This window comes from Homo sapiens, chromosome 3, assembly GCF_000001405.40.
Source record: "Homo sapiens chromosome 3, GRCh38.p14 Primary Assembly".
NCBI lineage: Eukaryota > Metazoa > Chordata > Mammalia > Primates > Hominidae > Homo > Homo sapiens.
In genome coordinates this window covers 126,311,522-126,336,199 of record NC_000003.12, presented here as the reverse complement: position 1 = coordinate 126,336,199, position 24,678 = coordinate 126,311,522, and the positions used below count along the sequence as shown (strand labels likewise).

The window sequence follows — 24,678 nt, the reverse complement described above, 5'->3', positions numbered from 1 at the left end:
TTTTGGTTACTGTAGCCTTGTAGTATAGTTTGAAGTCAGGTAGTGTGATGCCTCCAGCTTTGTTCTTTTGGCTTAGGATTGACTTGGCGATGCGGGCTCTTTTTTGGTTCCATATGAACTTTAAAGTAGTTTTTTCCAATTCTGTGAAGAAAGTCATTGGTAGCTTGATGGGGATGGCATTGAATCTGTAAATTACCTTGGGCAGTATGGCCATTTTCACGATATTGATTCTTCCTGCCCATGAGCATGGAATGTTCTTTCATTTGTTTGTATCCTCTTTTATTTCCTTGAGCAGTGGTTTGTAGTTCTCCTTGAAGAGGTCCTTCACATCCCTTGTAAGTTGGATTCCTAGGTATTTTATTCTCTTTGAAGCAATTGTGAATGGGAGTTCACTCATGATTTGGCTCTCTGTTTGTCTGTTGTTGGTGTATAAGAATGCTTGTGATTTTTGTACATTGATTTTGTATCCTGAGACTTTGCTGAAGTTGCTTATCAGCTTAAGGAGATTTTGGGCTGAGACGATGGGGTTTTCTAGATATACAATCATGTCATCTGCAAACAGGGACAATTTGACTTCCTCTTTTCCTAATTGAATACCCTTTATTTCCTTCTCCTGCCTCATTGCCCTGGCCAGAACTTCCAACACTATGTTGAATAGGAGTGGTGAGAGAGGGCATCCCTGTCTTGTGCCAGTTTTCAATGGGAATGCTTCCAGTTTTTGCCCATTCAGTATGATATTGGCTGTGGGTTTGTCATAGATAGCTCTTATTATTTTGAAATACATCCCATCAATACCTAATTTATTGAGAGTTTTTAGCATGAAGGGTTGTTGAATTTTGTCAAAGGCTTTTTCTGCATCTATTGAGATAATCATGTGGTTTTTGTCTTTGGCTCTGTTTATATGCTGGATTACATTTATTGATTTGCATATGTTGAACCAGCCTTGCATCCCAGGGATGAAGCCCACTTGATCATGGTGGATAAGCTTTTTGATGTGCTGCTGGATTCGTTTTGCCAGTATTTTATTGAGGATTTTTGCATCAATGTTCATCAAGGATATTGGTCTAAAATTCTCTTTTTTGGTTGTGTCTCTGCCCGGCTTTGGTATCAGAATGATGCTGGCCTCATAAAATGAGTTAGGGAGGATTCCCTCTTTTTCTATTGATTGGAATAGTTTCAGAAGGAATGGTACCAGTTCCTCCTTGTACCTCTGGTATAATTCAGCTGTGAATCCATCTGGTCCTGGACTCTTTTTGGTTGGTAAACTATTGATTATTGCCACAATTTCAGCTCCTGTTATTGGTCTATTCAGAGATTCAACTTCTTCCTGGTTTAGTCTTGGGAGAGTGTATGTGTCGAGGAATGTATCCATTTCTTCTAGATTTTCTAGTTTATTTGCGTAGAGGTGTTTGTAGTATTCTCTGATGGTAGTTTGTATTTCTGTGGGATCGGTGGTGATATCCCCTTTATCATTTTTTATTGTGTCTATTTGATTCTTCTCTCTTTTTTTCTTTATTAGTCTTGCTAGTGGTCTATCAATTTTGTTGATCCTTTCAAAAAACCAGCTCCTGGATTCATTGATTTTTTGAAGGGTTTTTTGTGTCTCTATTTCCTTCAGTTCTGCTCTGATTTTAGTTATTTCTTGCCTTCTGCTAGCTTTTGAATGTGTTTGCTCTTGCTTTTCTAGTTCTTTTAATTGTGATGTTAGGGTGTCAATTTTGGATGTTTCCTGCTTTCTCTTGTGGGCATTTAGTGCTATAAATTTCCCTCTACACACTGCTTTGAATGCATCCCAGAGATTCTGGTATGTTGTGTCTTTGTTCTCGTTGGTTTCAAAGAACATCTTTATTTCTGCCTTCATTTCGTTATGTACCCAGTAGTCATTCAGGAGCAGGTTGTTCAGTTTCCATGTAGTTGAGCGGCTTTGAGTGAGATTCTTAATCCTGAGTTCTAGTTTGATCGCACTGTGGTCTGAGAGATAGTTTGTTATAATTTCTGTTCTTTTACATTTGCTGAGGAGAGCTTTGCTTCCAACTATGTGGTCAATTTTGGAATAGGTGTGGTGTGGTGCTGAAAAAAATGTATATTGTGTTGATTTGGGGTGGAGAGTTCTGTAGATGTCTATTAGGTCCACTTGGTGCAGAGCTGAGTTCAATTCCTGGGTATCCCTGTTGACTTTCTGTCTCGTTGATCTGTCCAATGTTGACAGTGGGGTGTTAAAGTCTCCCATTATTAATGTGTGGGAGTCTAAGTCTCTTTGTAGGTCACTCAGGACTTGCTTTATGAATCTGGGTGCTCCTGTATTGGGTGCATATATATTTAGGATAGTTAGCTCTTCTTGTTGAATTGATCCCTTTACCATTATGTAATGGCCTTCTTTGTCTCTTTTGATCTTTGTTGGTTTAAAGTCTGTTTTATCAGAGACTAGGATTGCAACCCCTGCCGTTTTTTGTTTTCCATTTGCTTGGTAGATCTTCCTCCATCCTTTTATTTTGAGCCTATGTGTGTCTCTGCACGTGAGATGGGTTTCCTTAATACAGCACACTGATGGGTCTTGACTCTTTATCCAGTTTGCCAGTCTGTGTCTTTTAATTGGAGAATTTAGTCCATTTACATTTAAAGTTAATATTGTTATGTGTGAATTTGATCCTGTCATTATGATGTTAGCTGGTTATTTTGCTCGTTAGTTGATGCAGTTTCTTCCTAGTCTCGATGGTCTTTACATTTTGGCATGATTTTGCAGCGGCTGGTACTGGTTGTTCCTTTCCATGTTTAGTGCTTCCTTCAGGAGCTCTTTTAGGGCAGGCCTAGTGGTGACAAAATCTCTCAGCATTTGCTTGTCTGTGAAGTATTTTATTTCTCCTTCACTTATGAAGCTTAGTTTGGCTGGATATGAAATTCTGGGTTGAAAATTCTTTTCTTTAAGAATGTTGAATATTGGCCCCCACTCTCTTCTGGCTTGTAGGGTTTCTGCCGAGAGATCTGCTGTTAGTCTGATGGGCTTCCCTTTGAGGGTAACCCGACCTTTCTCTCTGGCTGCCCTTAACATTTTTTCCTTCATTTCAACTTTGGTGAATCTGACAATTATGTGTCTTGGAGTTGCTCTTCTTGAGGAGTATCTTTGTGGCGTTCTCTGTATTTCCTGAATCTGAACGTTGGCCTGCCTTGCTAGATTGGGGAAGTTCTCTTGGATAATATCCTGCAGAGTGTTTTCCAACTTGGTTCCATTCTCCCCATCACTTTCAGGTACACCAATCAGATGTAGATTTGGTCTTTTCACATAGTCCCATATTTCTTGGAGGCTTTGCTCATTTCTTTTTATTCTTTTTTCTCTAAACTTCCCTTCTTGCTTCATTTCATTCATTTCATCTTCCATTGCTGATACCCTTTCTTCCAGTTGATCGCATCGGCTCCTGAGGCTTCTGCATTCTTCACGTAGTTCTCGAGCCTTGGTTTTCAGCTCCATCAGCTCCTTTAAGCACTTCTCTGTATTGGTTATTCTAGTTATACATTCTTCTAAATTTTTTTCAAAGTTTTCAACTTCTTTGCCTTTGGTTTGAATGTCCTCCTGTAGCTCAGAGTAATTTGATCGTCTGAAGCCTTCTTCTCTCAGCTCGTCAAAGTCATTCTCCATCCAGCTTTGTTCCGTTGCTGGTGAGGAACTGCGTTCCTTTGGAGGAGGAGAGGCACTCTACGTTTTAGAGTTTCCAGTTTTTCTGTTCTGTTTTTTCCCCATCTTTGTGGTTTTATCTACTTTTGGTCTTTGATGATGGTGATGTACAGATGGGTTTTCGGTGTGGATGTCCTTTCTGTTTGTTAGTTTTCCTTCTAACAGACAGGACCCTCAGCTGCAGGTCTGTTGGAATACCCTGCAGTGTGAGGTGTCAGTGTGCCCCTGCTGGGGGGTGCCTCCCAGTTAGGCTGCTCGGGGGTCAGGGGTCCGGGACCCACTTGAGAAGGCAGTCTGCTGGTTCTCAGATCTCCAGCTGAGTGCTGGGAGAACCACTGCTCTCTTCAAAGCTGTCAGACAGGGACACTTAAGTCTGCAGAGGTTACTGCTGTCTTTTTGTTTGTCTGTGCCCTGCCCCCAGCGGTGGCGCCTACAGAGACAGGCAGGCCTCCTTGAGCTGTGGTGGGCTCCACCCAGTTCGAGCTTCCTGGCTGCTTTGTTTACCTAAGCAAGCCTGGGCAATGGCGGGCGCCCCTCCCCCAGCCTCGCTGGCGCCTTGCAGTTTGATCTCAGACTGCTGTGCTAGCAGTCAGTGAGATTCCGTGGGCGTAGGACCCTCCGAGCCAGGTGTGGGATATAATCTCATGGTTCACCCGATTTTCCAGGTGCATCCGTCACCCCTTTCTTTGACTCGGAAAGGGAACTCCCTGACCCCTTGCGCTTCCCAAGTGAGGCAATGCCTCGCCCTGCTTCGGCTTGCACACAGTGCATGCACCCACTGGCCTGCGCCCACTGTCTGGCACTCCCTAGTGAGATAAACCCGGTACCTCAGATGGAAATGCAGAAATCACCCGTCTTCTGCGTCGCTCACGCTGGGAGCTGTAGACCGGAGCTGTTCCTATTCGGCCATCTTGGCTCCTCCCCCCCACTAGACATTTTATTAAATCAAATGCTTTCTAGCATCTGTGCCTTAACATATTACTTGCAAGTAGGTTTTTGGAGGGTGAACACATTCCCTTACAAAAGGGTTGCAGGGCTCAGTTGAAGTTGCATCTTCTCAGGGTTCATTCACAGGTCATTAAATACTCAACCGTGGGAAGAACTGAAAGCTGATGTGTTCAAGACACTTCTAATTGCATATCAAGCAATAAACCAGATAAACCCAATCTGAAATTGTAGTGGTTTTACAAGGCTGTGCACATTTCCTGGGTTTGGTTTGTATTCCCAGAGAGGAAGCTAATCACTGGAGTGCTCTGTTCAATACCAGATGCCTGCGACTTATACCTAGGTCTCTGTCCTCTTATGCCATCACTCCTAAGACCTCCACAGAAGGGCAGGCCCTGCATCCAGAAGAGGGGCTCATGATGGGGGCTGGTGACTCTCTAGTTTGTGACCAGGGAGTTGAGTGTGAGGGGCATCTTATGTGCCTGATGTTTTCCTTCCCCACTACCCTGCCTCTGTGCTGCCCTCAGACTCCTGAGGATAGGGGCAGATTGCATCCTCAAGCCCCATTCATGTCAGTTCACTTCCAGCTTCTGCTGCCTGGGTACCCATGAGGCTCCCCCATCCTCTGCTGCCCTTATGAGAGGGATTCTGGACAAATTTGTCATATCCAGAGAGATGTTCTCATTCTTTCAGAGACACTGGAGACATAGACATTCTCAGGCTTCTGGAGACACTGGTTATTCACATGACAAAAGAGAAAAGATAGAGCTTTTCCTAACATCGTCACATCATGCACAGAAAATTCACTCCAGGTAGGTTAAAGAAGCAACCATAAACACACAATGCTAAAAGTACAAGAAATAATGAGACACAGGGAAGAGCACTGTATTCATCAAGAAGAAATGTCTTGTTAAGTCTCTCAAGGCAAAGGGTGAATAGGACACACTTATATTCACAAATAGCAGCATGCACCCAGAAGACCCACAAAAACAAACACAACTTATTATTTGCAAAGTCCTTGCCAATGTAATATGACAAGAAAAAAAAAAGACTGAAAGGATAGGAAAGGAAGGGACAAGATGACTTTTATCGCATATGATGTAATTATCTGTCCGGAAGGGCCGAAAATGATCAATTGAAAATCTGCCAGAATTAATAAAACTGTTCAATCAATGGCCAGACACAAGATAAACCCACAGAAATACATGGACTGATTGCATGTCAATGTTTCAGTCAGCAATTACTGTGTAATTGACAGCCCACCTCAAAGCTCAGTGCTCTGAAACAGTCCTGATTTAGTACTAGAGCTATGATCCTGTGGGTTGGCTGGGAGTCTGCTGACCTGAGTTAATCTTGCTCCTGTGTCTGTGGGGAACGAGGGATTCTGCTGTGACTCAGGCTGGGCTGGCTGGGGCTCTGCTCCATGTTGCTCACATTTCGCCTTGGGCCAGCAGGCCAGCTGGGGTATAGCCCATGGCTGCAAGATAGCAAGGCCCACCTTGCAAGCTCATTTCAGACCTCGGCTTGCATCCTGTCTGCTCTGACCCACTGGGCAGAACAAGTCATACGGCCAAGCCCAGTGAGAACATACAGCAGAGGGTGTGGATGAATGAGGGGCCATCACTGAGGGCACTAACACAATCAAAATCAACTAAAAACTGCAACAGTAAGTAGAGTTCATAACTTTTATGACAGGAAGAAAAATCACAAGCAACATGGCAGGAAATTGGTAAAAAAAAAAAAAAAGTGTAATAATATGCTGAAACTTTAATGGAAAACATAAAGAAGACCTAACTGGAATTGCTTACCTTTTTTTTTTTTTTTTCTGTATGGGGAGACTCAGTATTGTAAAGATCCCAATTTCTGTCATATTGATCTATAATTCATTGCAATTCCAGTACAAATCCAAAGAGGATTTTAAAAAATGGGACTTGATTCCAAAATTTATCTGGAGGAGAAAATGTATAAGATGCAACCCAATATGACACGACAATGGTGGTAGAGGTGGGGAGATTGCCTGACAAATTACTGAAACATCCTATAGAGGTTTAAATTGTTTGGTTTTGTTTTATTATTTAATTTATTTTATTAATTCTATTTGAGACAGGTTCTTGCTCTGCTGCCCAGGCTGGAGTGCAGAGATGGGATCATAGCTCACTGCAGCTTCAAACTCCCAGGCTCAAGCGATTTGCCACACCTCAGCTTCCTGAGTAGCTGGGACTCCAGGCACACACCACCACACCCAGCTGAGGTTAAACATTTTTTTAATGTGGTGTTATAACAGATAAAGGCAAAGAAGACATGAGGCAACATACAGATTCTAGAAAATAACTCAAGTACATATGGCTATTTAATATAAGTTATCAATACAAGGTTACTTATATGATAAGAGAGGAAAGATGGAGGTTCTTCTCACACCATACACAGAAAATCCACTCCAAGTGGGTAAAAGAGCCAACCACAAACACACAATTATAAAGGTACAAGAAATAGCAAGATGCAGGTGCCATTATGGAAAAGATAGACATGCTTGACACTACCATTTAAACTCCTGTTTAAGAACAGACACCCTATGAGTGAAGTTAGAAGATAAATATGAGACATGGATAGAAATATATGAGTCAACAATCCGAATATATCTGGAATGCACAAAACTGTTCTACAAATTAGTGAGTAAAACATAAAAATCCCAATAGAAAAATGGGCAATAGATATAAACTAGCAACTTACAGTAAAAGACATGCAAATGGCAAGTAGGCACATGAGAAGATATCTAACTTTGTAAATATGCAGAAAAATGAAATAAAAAAACAATATATCCTGTGGAGGTTGACTACATTGCAAAAATGTAAAAGATTATATCCAAGCATGGGGGAAAGAGTTACTCTCATTACTGTTGATTGTAGTACAATTTTTTTTTGGAGGATAATTTGGCAAACTTCATCAAAACTTAATCATTCTTTTGGCCATAATAAAAAAATCAAAAAACAGTAGATGTTGGCTTGGATGTGGTGAACAGGGAACACTTCTACGCTGCTGGTGGGAATGTAAACTAGTACAGCCACTATGGAAATCAGTGTGGAGATTCCTTAAAGAACTAAAAGTGGAACAACCATTTGATCCAGCAATGCCACTACTAGGTATCTACCCAGAGGAAAAGAAGTCATTATTTGAAAAAGATACTGGCCCACGCATGTTTATAGCAGCACAATTCACAATTGCAAATTGTAGAACCAACCCAAAAGCCCATCAGTCAACGAGTGGATAAAGAAACTGTGGTATATATATATATGATGGAATACTACTCAGCCATAAAAAGGAATGAATTAACAGCATTTGCAGTGACCTAAATGAGATTGGAGACTATTATTCTAAGTGAAGTAACTCAGGAATGGAAAACCAAACATCATATGTTCTCACTGATATGTGAGAGCTAAGCTATGAGGATACAAAGGCATAAGAATGATACAATGGACTTTGGGGACTTGGGGGGAAGAGTAAGAGGGGGGCAAGGTATAAAAGATTACAGATATGGTGCAGGGTATACTGGTCGGGTGATGGGTGCACCAAAATCTCACAAATCACCACTAAAGAACTTACACATGCAACCAAATACCACCTGTACCCCAATAACTTATGGAAAAAGACTGCAATCTTTCTTTGACCTAGCAAACCCATCATATTAAAAATCCACATATAAAAGTATATATACAAGTCTGTTCTTTTAGCATTATGACAGCAAACATTTGTGAACAATCTAAACATTTTCCAATGAAGAATCGAGTAGATAAATTATGGTAACCAGAAACTAGCTCTTTCATTTGGCAATGAAATGGTCAAACTCGCATAAAATTTACATTATGTAAACATGACATGCAGGCTTCAGTTTCTGGAATCATCCTATGTATGAAGTCTGGAATGCAGGTGTCAGCATCCTTGACAACAATGCCCCCAGCAGCACAGGAGATGGGGAGGCTGGGGGAAGACTGCAGACCTCAACAGCAAGGCGGGTCAAAATCCTAAGTGTCTTCTGCTTTGTCCTGAAAATACACCTGGAGTTTGACCCTGCTCCTCACCCACTGTGGCCCACAGCACCCATGATCTCTTGCCTAGACTACTGCAGAATCATCCACAGACATCCCAACCTGGCCTCACCCCTTCCAGCTCCCTGAGGGACAGCAGCCAGAAGGGCCCAGTTAAAGTCGGTCTGATCATGTCCTGCCTCTGTTCAGGAGCTTCCTGGGGGCTCCCTGTTTGCCTCGGAGGAAAAGTGAAAACCTCTATGAGGTCCCACAGGAGTCTGCCCCACGCTTCCCACCCAGACCTCACTGCCTGCTATACTTCTCACTTAGCTCCAGCCCCACTCCATCCCAGAAGTGTCAAGGGCACAAAAGACAAAGAAAGACTAAGGAGCTGTTGCAGAGTGGAGGAGACCATGAGATGTGACCACAGAATGCAGTGAAGAATCCTGAACGATGTCCTAGGACCGGCAAGGCACCTCTGTGGAAAAACTGGAGAAAGCCCGTTCAAGCCTGGAGTTGAGCCAGCAGTCCTGCACCCATCTTCATTTCCTAGTTTTGATGAATGTACCCTGGCTATGTGATGTGTCGGGGAGGCTAGGGAGGGGTATTCAAGAATGTTTGCACTATCCGCAATGCTTGTAAATCTAAAATTTGAAAATTAAAAATTTATTTATTAATTATAGTTAAATCAACTATAAGTTATTCAATCAATATTAATCGACTTAATTAAAATTATTAAAATAATTTAAAATTAAACTCTAGTTAATAATTAATTGATTTAAACTAATAACTTAAAATTTTTGAGGTAAATACAACAACAGTTAAAAACAAACAAAAGCCACCTCTGCCAGCACTCCTCAGCTCTCTCCCCAGCTTTGCTTCTCTCCCTAGCCCTTCCTGCCTCCTAGGCACAGCCTAAAGCACAGATTCGTTCAGGGTGTGCGATCTGTCTTTCTGCACTCCAACGTGCTCCATGAGGGCAGGTTCTGCCTGTTTTATAAACAGTGCTGTAAACCCAGCAGCTACAACCTGTATCATCATATTCATCTATAAATTCTAGTTTCTGGGCACCACAATTTATTTTCCCAATTCTCCTTCAATATATTTTTGTTCTCAAACATTTGCTGTTATAAATTATGCCATAAAGAACAGGCTTATACTGCCCAAGGTAATTTACAGATTCAATGCCATCCCCATCAAGCTACCAATGACTTTCTTCACAGAATTGGAAAAAACTACTTTAAAGTTCATATGGAACCAAAAAAGAGCCCGCATTGCCAAGTCAATCCTAAGCCAAAAGAACAAAGCTGGAGGCATCACACTACCTGACTTCAAACTATACTACAAGGCTACAGTAACCAAAACAGCATGGTACTGGTACCAAAACAGAGATATAGATCAATGGAACAGAACAGAGCCCTCAGAAATAATGCCGCATATCTACAACTATCTGATCTTTGACAAACCTGAGAAAAACAAGCAATGGGGAAAGGATTCCCTATTTAATAAATGGTGCTGGGAAAACTGGCTAGCCATATGTAGAAAGCTGAAACTGGATCCCTTCCTTACACCTTATACAAAAATCAATTCAAGATGGATTAAAGATTTAAACGTTAAACCTAAAACCATAAAAACCCTGGAAGAAAACCTAGGCATTACCATTCAGGACATAGGCGTGGGCAAGGACTTCATGTCCAAAACACCAAAAGCAATGGCAACAAAAGACAAAATTGACAAATGGGATCTAATTAAACTAAAGAGCTTCTGCACAGCAAAAGAAACTACCATCAGAGTGAACAGGCAACCTACAAAATGGGAGAAAATTTTCGCAACCTACTCATCTGACAAAGGGCTAATATCCAGAATCTACAATGAACTCAAACAAATTTACAAGAAAAAAACAAACAACCCCATCAAAAAGTGGGCGAAGGACATGAACAGACACTTCTCAAAAGAAGACATTTATGCAGCCAAAAAACACATGAAGAAATGCTCATCATCACTGGCCATCAGAGAAATGCAAATCAAAACCACTATGAGATATCATCTCACACCAGTTAGAATGGCAATCATTAAAAAGTCAGGAAACAACAGGTGCTGGAGAGGATGCGGAGAAATAGGAACACTTTTACACTGTTGGTGGGACTGTAAACTAGTTCAACCATTGTGGAAGTCAGTGTGGCGATTCCTCAGGGATCTAGAACTAGAAATACCATTTGACCCAGCCATCCCATTACTGGGTATATACCCAAATGAGTATAAATCATGCTGCTATAAAGACACATGCACACGTATGTTTATTGTGGCACTATTCACAATAGCAAAGACTTGGAACCAACCCAAATGTCCAACAATGATAGACTGGATTAAGAAAATGTGGCACATATACACCATGGAATACTATGCAGCCATAAAAAATGATGAGTTCATATCCTTTGTAGGGACATGGATGAAATTGGAAACCATCATTCTCAGTAAACTATCGCAAGTACAAAAAACCAAACACCGCATATTCTCACTCATAGGTGGGAATTGAACAATGAGATCACATGGACACAGGAAGGGGAATATCACACTCTGGGGACTATGGTGGGGTCGGGGGAGGGGGGAGGGATAGCATTGGGAGATATACCTAATGCTAGATGACACATTAGTGGGTGCAGCGCACCAGCATGGCACATGTATACATATGTAACTAACCTGCACAATGTGCACATGTACCCTAAAACTTAGAGTATAATAAAAAAAAAAAAAAAGAGCGAAAAAAAAAAAAATTAAAAGCAAAAAGATCAATGAAAAAAAAAAAAGTTAACATCACCAATGAAGGACAGATGGACATGATATGCTTTCAGATGTGATAGCCTGAGAAGGACACAACATCTCCTATGCAACATTCCAAAGAAGAATGCATAACTTGAAAGTGATCACGAAAGGCTATCTAAAAAACCCCAAACAGGAAATGTTTCATTAAAAAAAAGTTGGGGGCGGGTGTGGCAGTAATCCATTCTTCCAAAATGTCAATGTCAGAAAAAAAAGTCAATGTCAGAAAATAAAAAGAAAGGTTGTAGAAGTATTCCCTATTGAAAGTGGGTAAAGAGACATGGCACTTAAATGCTATACCTGATGACAGACTGGATCCTGTACCACAGAGGAAAATGCTATAAAGAACATTACTGGATCAAATGACAATACTGATGTATGAAAGGTAGATAAGAAAAAAGTATTCTATCAATGTTAAATATATTGAAGTTGGAGAAATGCAAATCAAAACCACAATGAGATACCATTTCATGCCAGTCAGAATGGCGATTATTAAAAAGTCAAGAAACAATAGATGCTGGTGAGGTGGTGGAGAAACAGGAACACTTTTACACTGTTGGTGGGAGTGTAAATTAGTTCAACCATTGCTGAAGACAGTGTGGTGATTCCTCAAGGATCTAGAATCAGAAATATCATCTGACCCAGCAATCCCATTACTGGGTATATACCCAAAGGATTACAAATCACTCTACTATAAAGACACATGCACACATATGTTTATTGCAGGACTATTTACAATAGCAAAGACATGGAGCCAACCCAAATGCCCATCAATGATAAACTGGATAAAGAAAATGTTGCACATATACACCATGGAATACTGTGCAGCCATAAAAAGGAATGAGATCATGTCCTTTGCAGGAACATGGAGAAGCTGGAAGCCATCATCCTCAGCAAACTAACACAGGAACAGAAAACCAAACATCACATATTTGGGTATTCAGACATGAGATTATCAGGCGTGACTTACAGTTTATAATGGTACCCAAAATATGATGTTCTCACTCATAAGTGGGAGTTGAACAGTGAGAACACATGGACACAGGGAGGGGAACAACACACCAGTGCCTGTTGGGGGGTGGGGGGCCAGGGGAGGGAACCTAGTTGATGGGTTAATAGGTGGAGCAAACCATCATGGCACACGTATAGCTATGCAACAAACCTGCACGTTCTGCACATGTACCCCAGAACTTAAAGTAAAATTAACATACATATTTATATATATATGTTATATAGTAGTTATATATATATATGTTATATATATATATAACATATATATGTTATATATATATATAACATATATATGTTATATATATATATATATATATATATATATATAACTACTGGGGCTAAGTAAGAGAATATCTACATTCTTAGGAAATATGCACTGATGTTTGGAGTAAAGGGCCATCATGTATGTGACACCTTCAATTTACTAAGAAAAAAATTAAGTATATAATTATGTGTATGTAACATGTATGGAGAGAGAGAACCATGGGGTGAGGTGGGTGGGGAAAGAAAGAAACCAAAAAGCCAATTGTGTGAAATGCTAACAATAAGTCTTTCTGGGAAAAGGGTGTATGGGTATTCTTTACACTCTTTTTATATTTGCAACTTATCTATAAAATTTAAATTTTTTCCAAATAAAAAGTTTTAAAAAGTGTGCAAATGTCAATATGTATAATCACAGCAAATAAAAATTATTTCATTAAAAAAAAAAAAAGAACAGGCTTGTACACATATCATTATATATGAATTTTTAACAGCAGGCTTGCAGAGTCAGAGAACAGGCACAATTTAAATTTTCATAAATTTTACCAAGTTATCCTCCAAAAAGCAATTGTGCTGAGAATATCATTTATTCATTTATCCCATGTATTGCCTGTCTTTCCCCACTGGAATATAGGCTTTGGGAAAATAAGGCTTTGCCTGGCTTGATCAGTTGTGCAAACCTAGCTCCCAGAACAAATATTTATCAAGCAAATGGCGTGGGCAGGCAAGAGCTACACTGAAATGGATGGGATAAGATACAGAGGTTTAAACCTATGATTTGAAGTTATGAAGGTACTATGGTGGACCTTCACAATTGAGTGGCTCCTCAAAGCTGTCCACATATGAATCCCCAGAACCTGGGAAGATGTTACTTTACAAGGCAGCAGGGACTTCCTTCGTGGATGTGATTAAGTTAAGGGTCTGGAGATGGGGGGAGGATCCTGGGTTATCTGGTGGATCCAGCGTAATCACAAGGGTCCTTATGCGAGGGGCAGTAGGAGGAACGAGGACCGAAGAAGAGGTCAGAGACAGAGACTGGAGGATGCCAAGCTGTGGCTCTGAGGATGGAAGAGGGGGCAAGGAGCTGGGGAATGCAGGTCACCTCTGGAAGCTGGGGAAGCACAGGAGACGGAGTTTCCCTTAGAGCCTCCAGGAGGAACCAGCGCCACCGATGGCACCTTCATTCTGGGACTTCTGATTTCCAGAACTGTAAGAAAATAACCAAGTGTTGTTTTAAGTTCCCAAGTTTGTGGTCATTGTTACAGCTGCAGTAAGAAATTTATCCAGGTAGAAGAATGAAAACAAACATGTAAATCACATACATAGAGGTGGGAAAAACACCAAGTCCCTGAAGCCTCAGCTTTTGTAACTGGGAAGCAAGAGATACAGTCTAAAATCGGTGACCAGGGACACAGGTTCTTCCACATTTCAGCTACAGTGATGGACAGAATGCAAGGATGAAAATCAAAACAGCTCCAAGCAGCTGCCAGAACCTGGAGGTGGAGGGGCTGTCACTTGCCTGCATTTGCTCTTCGGTGTAGATGAATTGGTCATCATGTGGGCATCTGACTTCTGTAAAACTCTATGTTAAAACCTGCCTGGGTGCTTTGGCAAGGTGCAAGGACCGCCTGCAGCAGTGCCACCCCGGAGCCGACACACATACGGCACACTCAGGGCCCAGCGACCCACAATTGCCCACCCAGACATCCAGCGGGGACACCCAGCAATTCAAGGAATAGGATGTCGAGTCAAAGAAGGAAGGCACCAAGTCTGTGGCCTGGCTGTGGACTGTGGACATGTCCACTAGTGGACACTGCACTCCCACCATCCCACCATGCACAGGGGGCCTCCAGGGTTCTGTCCATCTTCACAGAGGTCATGAGGGGCATGGGGCAGTGAATGACCACTGACCTGGCTGCGGGCCACACAACGTGTCCTGCTGGTGCTCTGGACTGCATGCATGTGTGGTCCCTATACCTCCTGTAGCACTGCTGCAGATGGAACCAGGCACTCAGTGGTGCTGGGCAGAGCTCTGCCTGGAGCAGGAGCCACAGCCTTTGCAGGGGCTCAGCCCCACCTCCTCCCCACAGCAGGCATGGCCACTAGAGCATGGCTCTGGCCCTGGGGACTCAGTTTCCTCATTTGTCAATGACATATTTGACAAGGGCTCTTACCCATTGAAGCTTTAGGATTCTGAGAGTTCAGGGGCGATTCTTCCTCTGTGGCCCTGGCCCCTTGCTGGGAAAGGGTGTAGAGAGACTTGGTTCTGCCGTCTCCAGGGTTGAGAGCACTCTGCAGAAGACATCAAACTGGAGATCACATGTGTAGTACACATGCTACACCTGTGCCTGTGTAGCCAGATGTGAGGACAGAGACAGAGCCTGGGCCACCAGCTGATACCCTTCCTGGCTGTGTCACCTGTGTGGATCAAGTCCCCGCCAGCTCCAGCTTCCTCACCTTCCTTGCTATGAAGCTTACCATGCCCTCCTGCCACCTTTCCGGGACTGAGGATCAAATAGAAGAATTCCAGAGGGTTCTGACCCTGCAGCTGAGGGTGTTGTGAAGCCAGGGAAGCTCAGGACCACCCTTCCCCTGCTAAATCAGGCAGCTGGCTAGAGGCAGCCTGAAGTGTAGTTTGATCAGCATCCTAGATTTTACTAGTGATCCTCCTGCTCTGAACTCTGCTTCCAGCTGAGTTGGGAAAGGCCAAGTGAAGTGGCCCCAGAGGGCAGCTCTGGCTTCCCCCAAGACTGCTGAGAGAGAAGGGCCCAGCATCCACAGGGCAGTCTGGGGACACCAGGGGACATCTTCTTAGGCTACTGCTGGAGGGTTCCCGTACAATGCTGCACGCATGTATGCAATACCAGTGTGCTCGTGTGTGCATCTGTATGTGCAATACTTGTGTACATGTGTAGCCAGGTGAACTCAAACACATGTGCACAGGAAAGCACTCTTATCTCTGTATGTGTGTATGTGTGTGCATTCAGGGCTGTACTGCATGTGCATTTATACAGATACACATGAGTTTGCACAGGCCCTTGTGCAGGTGCACTGGCATTCACATATATGTACATGAGAAGCATATGACAGCCTTGCTGTCAATTTCATTCATGGCTACATTTTGTTGGGCTGGCATGTTGTGTTAAAAGAGTCAGAGCCGGCATTTAAAGCCAGAAGATTTTACAAATCCACATGTTCAGCCTCTTTTGAAAAATTGAGGCCCTGTTCCTGCAGGGCAGCCACCAATCATAGCAGATATGTTCACCCTGTCCTGCCCCTCCAAAGTGGTCATGTGATCTCCAGTTTGTCAGAGTCTTCAGCACTCCCTATCACCTCACACCTTACTTGCTTCACCCATTTATGTTACCTCCTTGGCCCCTCTAGGAAGGTGCGATCCTTGGATAAAGCCCAAAGTATGCTTAAGCCTGGTCTACACTGATCCCCCTGCTCCAGCCTGGCCAGCTTCCCCACCCGCCACCTCCACTCATCTTGAACCACTTTGCCTGCCAGATCATTCTGTGCCTCCCCAGGCTTCTCCTGATCTGTGTCCCTGGTCTGCTGTCGCTCCGTACTCCCTCTCATATGGAGTCCTACTCTTCCTCCAGTTCCCCCTCCCCTGCACCCCACCCCGAGCCAGTGGGCTTGACTGTTGATCATGCCTCTGGCAGGCCACAGGAAAAGATTATTGTCTTGTAAGCTGGGACTAGAAATGCTCCCAAGGAGAGAAATAACTTTGTTTGAAAAAAAGCCTTGATATGCCCGTAGTGTTAAAGGTGAGGGTTTAATTGTGATCAGATAAATCACTAAAAACACAACAAAACAACTCTTAAAATGCAACAATAAGAAAATGAACACCTTGATTCAAAAATGTTCAAAAGATCTGAACAGACATTTTGCCAAAGAAGATTTAGAGATGGCAAATATGCATATGAAAAGATACTCAACATCATATGTCATCAGGGAAAACAGCAACGAGCTACCTCCACATGCCTGTTAGAATAGCCAAACCCAAAACACTGACAATATCAAATGCTGGCAATGATGTGGAGCAACTCTCAGTCATTGCTGGTGGGAAGGCCAAATGGCACAGCTACCTTGGAAGACAACTCGTCAATTTCTTACAAAACTAAACATATTCTTATATGATCCAGCAATTTTGCTACTTGGTATTTACCCAAATGAATTGAAAACTTATGTCCACACAAAAACCTGCATGCAGATATTGATAGCACCTTTACTCATAATGCCAAAACTTGGAAGCAACCAACATGTCCTTCAGTAGGTGAATGGATAAACTGTGGTACATCGAGACGATGGAATATCATTCAGCACTAAAAAGAAATGAGCTATCAAGCATAAAAAGACATGGAAGAAATTTAAATGCTTGTTACTAAGTGAATCTGAAAAGGCTACATACTGGATGATTCCAACTCTGTGACAATCTGGAAAAAGCAAAACTATGGAGACAGGAAACAGATCAGTGGTTTCCAGTGGTTATGGGAGAGGGAGGGATGAACAGGCAGAACACAGAGGATTTTTAGGGCAGTGATGCTATTCTGTGTCATACTACAATGGTGGATACGTTTGTCAAAACCCACAGAATGTACACCACTAGGAGTGAACCCTAATTTAAACTGTGGACTCCAGGTGATAATGATATCAGTGTCTGTTCATCAGCTAAAACAGGGACCACTCTGGTGTGAAATCTCTACTTTCTACTTGATTTTGCTGTGAACCTAAAACTGCTCAAAAAATAAAGTCTACTAAATAAAAAAAATAAGTAAGTAGAGCCATGTCTTAAAAGAGAGTTGAATTCTAAAACCAGCTCAGAAGGTGAAATCCCAGTTAACTAAAATTACTTTTGAAGATTTTCTTAAATCGTCCCTAGAGCACAGTATGCCACGTGTCGGCCAACACTGACGTTTTATCCCCCTGCACGTCCATCACAGATACATCACCCTTCCCCTTAGGTCAGATGAGTAGTTGGCTTGCATTCAGAGGCAGCTAACTTTGTATCACAAATACCTACCCATCAACATTAGGATCAATGTAAAGGAAGCTAGAAACTAGTGCTACCATAACAGGAGTCAAGAAATGAAGTAGCAAATTTTAATCTCCTACCCCCAGGCTAATCCCTGGGCATATGGAAGGGAATGAGGGGAAGAATTATCCCACACAATTTAAACCAATACATATTTTCCTCCCTCATATTTTGGAAATTACTATAGTTCAACTCATGTAGGTTAAAGGCATGTATGAGGTGAGTCCTCAGAGTGAGGTTGTCGCAAAGTTGCATAGCATGAAAACATGGGAGGAGTTGGGGGGAAAGGACCAAGTGCAAGAAGAGAGTGGGCAGGGTGAGAGCGGACAGGCAGCTGGGTGGAGGCGTCCAGGAAGAGGAGCTGTTTTCCCATGGGTCCAGGTTGGTGTCGTGTAGAACACAGAGAGCCAGCATGGAATCAGGAGCTCAGAAAACAAGGTGACCGGAAAGATGTTATTGTTAGCAGCAGAATGTATGTGAGTCACCAACGTATGTTAGTGGCGGCAAATCTGTACGGGTTTGCAGCAACCCCAGTTCTAGTCTCCTCAGAAGAATCCGACCGAGGGACAGAAGACATAGTGAGAGACACCCAGGCAAGTTTTTAAGCAGGAGTGAAAGTTTATTAAGAAAGTTTTAGAGCAGGAATGAAAGGAGGTAAAGTACACTTGGAAGAGGGCCAAGTGGGCAACTTGAGAGATCAAGTATGTGGTTTGACCATTGACTTGAAATTTATATGTTGGCAGGCTTCCAGGGGGTTGTGTCTCTTCTCCCCTGAGTCTTCCCTTGGGGTAGGCTGTCTGCATGCACAGTGACCTGCCCGCACTCCGGGGTGCGCAGTGTGTTTACTGAAATTGTGCACATGCTCACTTGAGGCATTCTTCCCTTCCCAGTCACATCTCCCTGGAAGGTCATAAAGCAGTTCAACTCTGCCATTTTGCCTCTTAGTGTGTATGCTTGAGCCCACTCGCCCAACTCCTGAGATCTTATCGCGAAGTTGCTGATCACCAGTTTCAGGTTTTTTCTATCTATTGGGAGACCGCCTTTCCCTGGTGATGGCTGCAACCAATTATTATTTTGGAAAGACAGTGTAACAACCACCTGATCATCACCTGATGGTGGCCTGACATTCTGGGGTGTGAGGCCCTCTCCTGCCCTGCTCATGTCTGACTAGCTACCTATTGCTTCTTGGGAAATGTATAGACATCTTTGGAGGGACATGAACACCACAAGGCATAGAAGTAGGGATGTAGAAGCAATGCGGCCCAGCCCCCAGGGCACAGGCAGGCCCTGTTCACCCTCTCTTATATTTGGGCTTGTGGTGCTGCTTGCAGTGTTTGACTTAATGGGTTTGCTGCTACCCAGAGAAGGAGAATGGATGGAACCCAGAGGATTCACAGTGGGGCTCCCAGGACTTCCACCTCTGGTAAAATATACCTCCATTGCCCTCAAGGTCAAAGTAACCTGGCCTGCTTAGCTTGCAAAGGTCTCCATCTCCTGGATGTTTCTGTGGCTTCCAGGAGCACATGTTCTCATGCCTTCCTGAGGGCTCGCTGGTCCTGCTGAGGGGGCACTCAGCCCCTGCTGCCCCAGGCAGTGCCAGCCACGGGCTCTGAGGAAGAGTCAGGCAGGCCCTGGGCTGCCCCCAGCCCCACTCTGCCTGTGCACTCCCTTCCCCACTCCGGCCCATGGACTCCCCTCACCACTCCGGCCCGTGCATTCCCTTCCCCACTCCGGCCTGTGGACTCCCAGCCCCACTCCAGCCTGTGCACTCCCTTCCCTACTCTGGCCCATGCACTCCCAGCCCCACTCTGGCCTGTGCACTCCCTTCCCCACTCCCCACTCTGGACTTCCTTCCCTACTCCAGCCCGTGTACCCTCTTCCCCACTCCGGCCCATGTACTCCCTCCCCACTGCAGCTCATGCACTCCCAGTCCCACTCCGGCCTGTGGACTCCCTTCCCCACTCCGGCCCATAGACTCCCTTCCCCACTCAGGCCCATGCACTCCCTTCCCCACTGGCCCATGGATGCCCAGCGCTGCTCCAGCCGGTGGACTCCCTTCTCCACTCCGGCCTGTGCACTCCCTTCCCCACTCTGGACTATGGACTCTCTTCCCCACTCCAGCCCTTGCACTCCCTTCCCCATTCTGGCCCATGCACTCCCAGCCCCACTCCCACCCGTGCACTCCCAGCCCCAGTCCGGCCCGTGGACTCCCTTCCCCACTCCGCCCGTGCACTCCCAGCCCCGCTTTCCATATTGCTCTGGCTTTTTCTTGTGAAGGGCCGGATAGTAAATGTTTTAGGCTTTACAGGCCACACGTGGTCTCTGCCGCAATTATTTGTTTGAATTCTTGTCTCTTACAACCCTTTAAAAATGCAAATACAGTTCCCAGCTTGCACAGAGACAGACAGCAGTGGGATTTGACTCTAGAGTGCGGCTTGCCAACCCCTGTTCTAGAATCTTAAAAACCTCCTTCTCTTATGTCGGAATCAGCCATGACCTAGTTGTCAGAGGGTCCCAAGCCTTGACCCCTCTTTTCCACATAAGAATATTTTCCTTCCCAGAACCGTAGCATTTTCTTTGCCTCATAAAATGATGGCTTTTTATTCAGAAGTGGCACAGTCCAGGGAGGTGCAGGAGAGGAATTTCAAAGGATAGGTAGAAAGCCCACCTCCTTCTTGAAGTGATTTGGAGTCATGCAGGCCTGAGTTCCTGTCCTGGCCCAGCCTCTCACTCAAAATGTGTCTCTCTGAGCCTCAGTTTTCTGTTAAGATGCAGCCGGAGACAGCAGTGTTGCTGTGAGCTGTGAGAGTGTGTGCTGGCCCTCGGAGCCTGCCGGCCTTCTATCCCTCCCCTCCCGCTCTCCTCCTGTCCCCCCTGACTTCCCTCTTCACTCTTGTGTAGGGAGCCCAGGATCCCAATGTCTGGGAACTTCCCTGCTCCATATTGACAAGATGTGGCCCTAGGTCCCGCCCCTCCCCCATCTGGGGCACAGTGGGGTGGACCATGCAGCACAGGCTGGGCCCATCCTACCACTTAGCTTCCAAGACACAGTGCGTTACTGTTGAAAAGTGCCCCCACCAAGAAGAGATATGTTCTAACTCTAACTGTACTGGGAGTTACAGCCCTAACTCCCAGTACTTCAGAATGTGAACTTGTTCGGAGCTAGAGTTGTTGCAGATGTAATTATTTAAGATGAGGTTGCACTGGAGTAGGGTGGGTCTCTCTAATGCAATATGACTGGTGTCCTTATAAAAAGGGGACATTTGGACACAGACACACACATGGGGGAACCCCAAGTGGTCATGAAGGTGGAGATCAGGGTGACAGCCTACAAGATAAGGAACTCCAAAGATTGGCAGCAAATAGCAGGAGCCAGGAGGGGGACTTGGAACAGACGCTATCTCAGAAGCAGACATCCCTGGCCGCAGTTTCATCCTGGACTTCCTTCCCCCAGAACTGTGAGACAAGAGACATCTGCGGCCCCTAGTGTGTAGTGCTCTGGCAGCCCTAGCCAACTCTATGCAAGGTCTGTATCTTTCTCAAGGAAAGCAAGCCATAAAAAGATGGCCTTGGGGTCCTGGCTGTCTGTCTTTCTTTACCAAATTAGTGGAATTTTCTGTGATCAGAGAGAACGATGCTGATGCAATAGACAGACAGAGGGGATTACTACTATATGGGGGCATAGAGGGCCCTCATGTCTAGCCCTCCCTGGACTTCGCCTCTGTTCTGCCCCAGGTGGAGCCCAGTATTCGTTTGCTGAGCTGTGCTGTGTGCAGCTGTGGGGTGAATGGCTCTGGGCCCTGCTGGGGTCACTGTGGGAAGTGTAGTCCTCAGTTCTAGTAGCAAGAGCCTGGGGCACAGAGGTGTGGGAGGCAGGAGCTACTGGTTGGATGGGAGGAACCTGGGAACACGTGTGGGTCCCTGTGTGGGAGCCCTGAGCCCTAAGAACACAACTGGCCATAGGGAGGTTGCTCTGTGTTCTGATTCTCTGCTTCCCCAAGCGGTCAGTCAGGCTCTGTCAAGCATCATGGCCTTGACTTAGCTGTGCTTGGCCCATTCAAAGGAAGACACATGAATGACATTTGCAAGGAAGGTGGCAATGGCTCCTCCCACCCCTGTATGTGTGGTCCTTGGTGATGTGCTGTGACTCTCCTGTCAAGGGGGGACCCATATCCCCACCCTTTGAATTTTGGACTGACATTTTGTGAGCTATTGGAACCCCGAGAGCACCCCAGCCCCCATGAGGAATCCTGGGCAGGCCTTGTGAGGATGAGTCCCTCTGGGTGACCGTTGGCCACCGAGCGAGGGAGTGACACAGCCTGAGACCAGGGCTCAGCAAGCTTTTGTATAAAGAGCAAGATAATAGATATTTTAGGCTTTGTGTGGCCACATGCAGTTTCTGTCTCACCTCATCAACTGCTGTTGCAGCATGAAGCAGTCACTGGCAACACATAACTGTATGAGCCTGGCTGTGTGCCAATAAAACTTTATTTACACAAACAGATGGTAGACGGGTTTGCAGTTTGCTGAGTTCTGCTCAAGCCTCAGCTGAAGACATCCCTAGATGACTTTAGCCACACAACGTGCCCCAGTGTAAGGACCATGGCTGAGCCCAGACCAGATGGTCAGACCACAGGAGTGAGAGCAAAGAAGATGGTGGTTGTTTTAAGCCTAAGTTTTGGGTAGTTGGTAAGTAGCAATAAGTAGCTCATACAAGGCAGGTCTGTGTGTGGAACCAGTAGGGAGGGCAGGAGAAGGTGGGGTTGAGCCATGCCAGGGACTGAGGATGACAAGTGTGAAAAATGACCCTCTGCAGGAAGTCCAGGGCAAGTCAGTATTCCCAGACATTGCTTGGGATGGGGATGCCAGGGCCAGGGCCCAGAAACACTAGGTTACAGGTTGAATCATGTCCCCCAAAATTTATATCTCAAAGTCCAAATCACCAGTGTCTCCAAATGTGACCTCATTTAAAGATAGGGTCACTGCAGATGTAATAGTTAGGATGTGGTCATCCTGGAGTCATTCTGGAGTAGGATGGGCCCTTGTATGAGTCAGCTGAGGCTGCGTAACAGAATGCCCCATATGAGTGGCTTAAACAACAGAGGTTCATTTCCCCACAGTTCCAGAGGCTGGAAGTTGGAGGTCAATGCGTCAGCAGGGTTGGATTCTCCCACGGCCTGTCTCTCTCTGCCGTGCAGCTGGCCGCCTTTTCGCTGTGTCCCCATGTTGTCATTCCTCTGTGCACTTGCATCTCTGGGGTCTCTTTGTGTGTCCCAACCCCCTCTTCTTACAAGCACCCCAGTCAGGTTGGATTAAGGGCTACTTTTAAAGGCCTCATTTTCACTTTATGGCCTGTTTAAAGGCCTAATTCCAAATTTGGTTCCATTCTGAGGTTCTGGGGGTTAGGACTTAGATATATGAATTTTGGGAGACAGAACTCAGCCCATAACATCCCTGAATTCTATGTGATGAGGATCTTCATAAAAGGGGAGCTGGGAGCTGCCATGCACAAGGAGAATGCCACGTGAACATGAGCGGGAGGTCAGTAATGCTGAAGGGCTCCAACCACCAGCAGAAGCTAGGCGAGGGCCCAGGACAGACAGACCTTCAGGGCCTTAAAGGGAACCCGCCAGTCTACACACACCTTGATCGAGGACTTGCAGCCTCCAAAACTGTGAAAACGCAAATGTCTGTTGAAGCCCTCAGGCTGTCGTACTTTGTTACAGCAGCCCTGGAAAACTCACAGATGCTGTAATTTAAATTTTAATTAGAGAGATGATACAGTATTTGGTGCCCTGCATGGATGAAGCAGGAGGGTTCTTGTGTTAGATGGGAAAAGCACTTAGCGCATTGCTGGGTGCCAGGCGGGCCCCCTAAGGGAGAGTCAGACATAAGAAACAGGAGGGAAGCTTACCAGTGAAATCCATTTATGGAAACATTGAATACTCAGGTTCTGGCTGGGCGCGGTGGCTCATGCTTGTAGTCCCAGCGCTTTGGATGACCAAGGTGGGAGGATCACTTGAGTCCAGGAGTTTGAGACTAGCTTGGGCAACATAGTGACGCCCCATGTCTACAAAAAAGACAAAAAATTAACAGGGCATGGTGGCATGCACCTATAGTCCCAGCTACTCAGGAGGCTGAAGTGGGAGGATCCCTTGAGCCTGGCAGGTTGAGGCTGCAGTGAGCCTTGCATCACTCTACTCCAGTGTGGGTGACAAAGCAAGACCCTAACTCTAAAAAATCCCAAAAGACTCAGGTTCTTAGATACAAGGGCTTCCACATGAGCTCTGACAGCCACAGCATCTGCTGCACACTGGAGTCTGATGCCAGATTCTGAAAGAAGGGTGCTCAGAGGGGCTATAGCCTCTGAGCTATAGCTCAGGGGATTGCAGCCTGCCTGGTCAGCCAAATCAGCCAGGGATTGGAGAGTAACTTCCCATCCTACCAGGAAGAGCTGGAGCAGAGTGTGCATAAATGTGGATCCAACAAGAGGGCTCAACCCAGTGATTTACGATTGATAGCCAACTGGTCAGACCAGTGGCCTCCCCACCTTTGAGCCAGTTGATAGCAGCAGGGCTGGGGCAGGGCCGCCTTCCTGGCCCACTCCCGATCTCTTAGGAGGCAGGAAGGAAGCTTGACAAACACTGGGCAGAGGACGGCTCAGGGGGTGAGGGGAGCTATACAGTCATGTCATTCTTGCCTTGTCCAGTGCCCTTGAACCTGGCTGACCTCCCCAGAAGTTAGTGAAGGTTGGAGGATGTAAGTCCTCAGCCTGGGAAGGAAAGTGCCAGAGGAGATGGGGTGTTTTCCATCTGAGGGGTAGCTTGTGAGTGAGCTGGCTCCAGAGGAACTGGGAGGAATTCACTCTGTAGCCAGGTGCCTAGCCTAGGGCAGAGAAGGCCAGGTTG

The 24,678-nt window shown here is 45.1% G+C and overlaps 1 protein-coding gene and 1 long non-coding RNA gene across 4 annotated transcripts in view, besides 2 other annotated features; one reads left to right on the top strand and one right to left on the bottom strand.

Annotated features, from left to right (window-relative positions):
• The window catches only part of KLF15 (KLF transcription factor 15), a 69,284-nt gene that overhangs the window by 21,209 nt on the left and 23,397 nt on the right, over positions 1-24,678 (top strand). The gene's annotated exons all lie outside the window — the stretch shown is intronic.
• Positions 3,725-4,328: an enhancer, noted in NCBI's record as "H3K27ac-H3K4me1 hESC enhancer chr3:126050715-126051318 (GRCh37/hg19 assembly coordinates)". NCBI's record gives its function as "activates a minimal SCP1, AML or CMV promoter by ChIP-STARR-seq in naive and primed H9 embryonic stem cells {active_cell/tissue: H9 hESC(naive and primed)}" and the evidence as "EXISTENCE:reporter gene assay evidence [ECO:0000049][PMID:30033119]".
• Positions 4,329-4,933: an enhancer, noted in NCBI's record as "H3K27ac-H3K4me1 hESC enhancer chr3:126050110-126050714 (GRCh37/hg19 assembly coordinates)". NCBI's record gives its function as "activates a minimal SCP1, AML or CMV promoter by ChIP-STARR-seq in primed H9 embryonic stem cells {active_cell/tissue: H9 hESC(primed)}" and the evidence as "EXISTENCE:reporter gene assay evidence [ECO:0000049][PMID:30033119]".
• Positions 12,677-23,840, bottom strand: LOC105374088 (uncharacterized). The gene is made up of 3 exons (XR_924454.4): positions 23,685-23,840; positions 14,904-15,021; positions 12,677-13,936 (listed from the first exon to the last, which is right to left on the bottom strand). It is a non-coding gene; the product is annotated as an uncharacterized LOC105374088 (long non-coding RNA).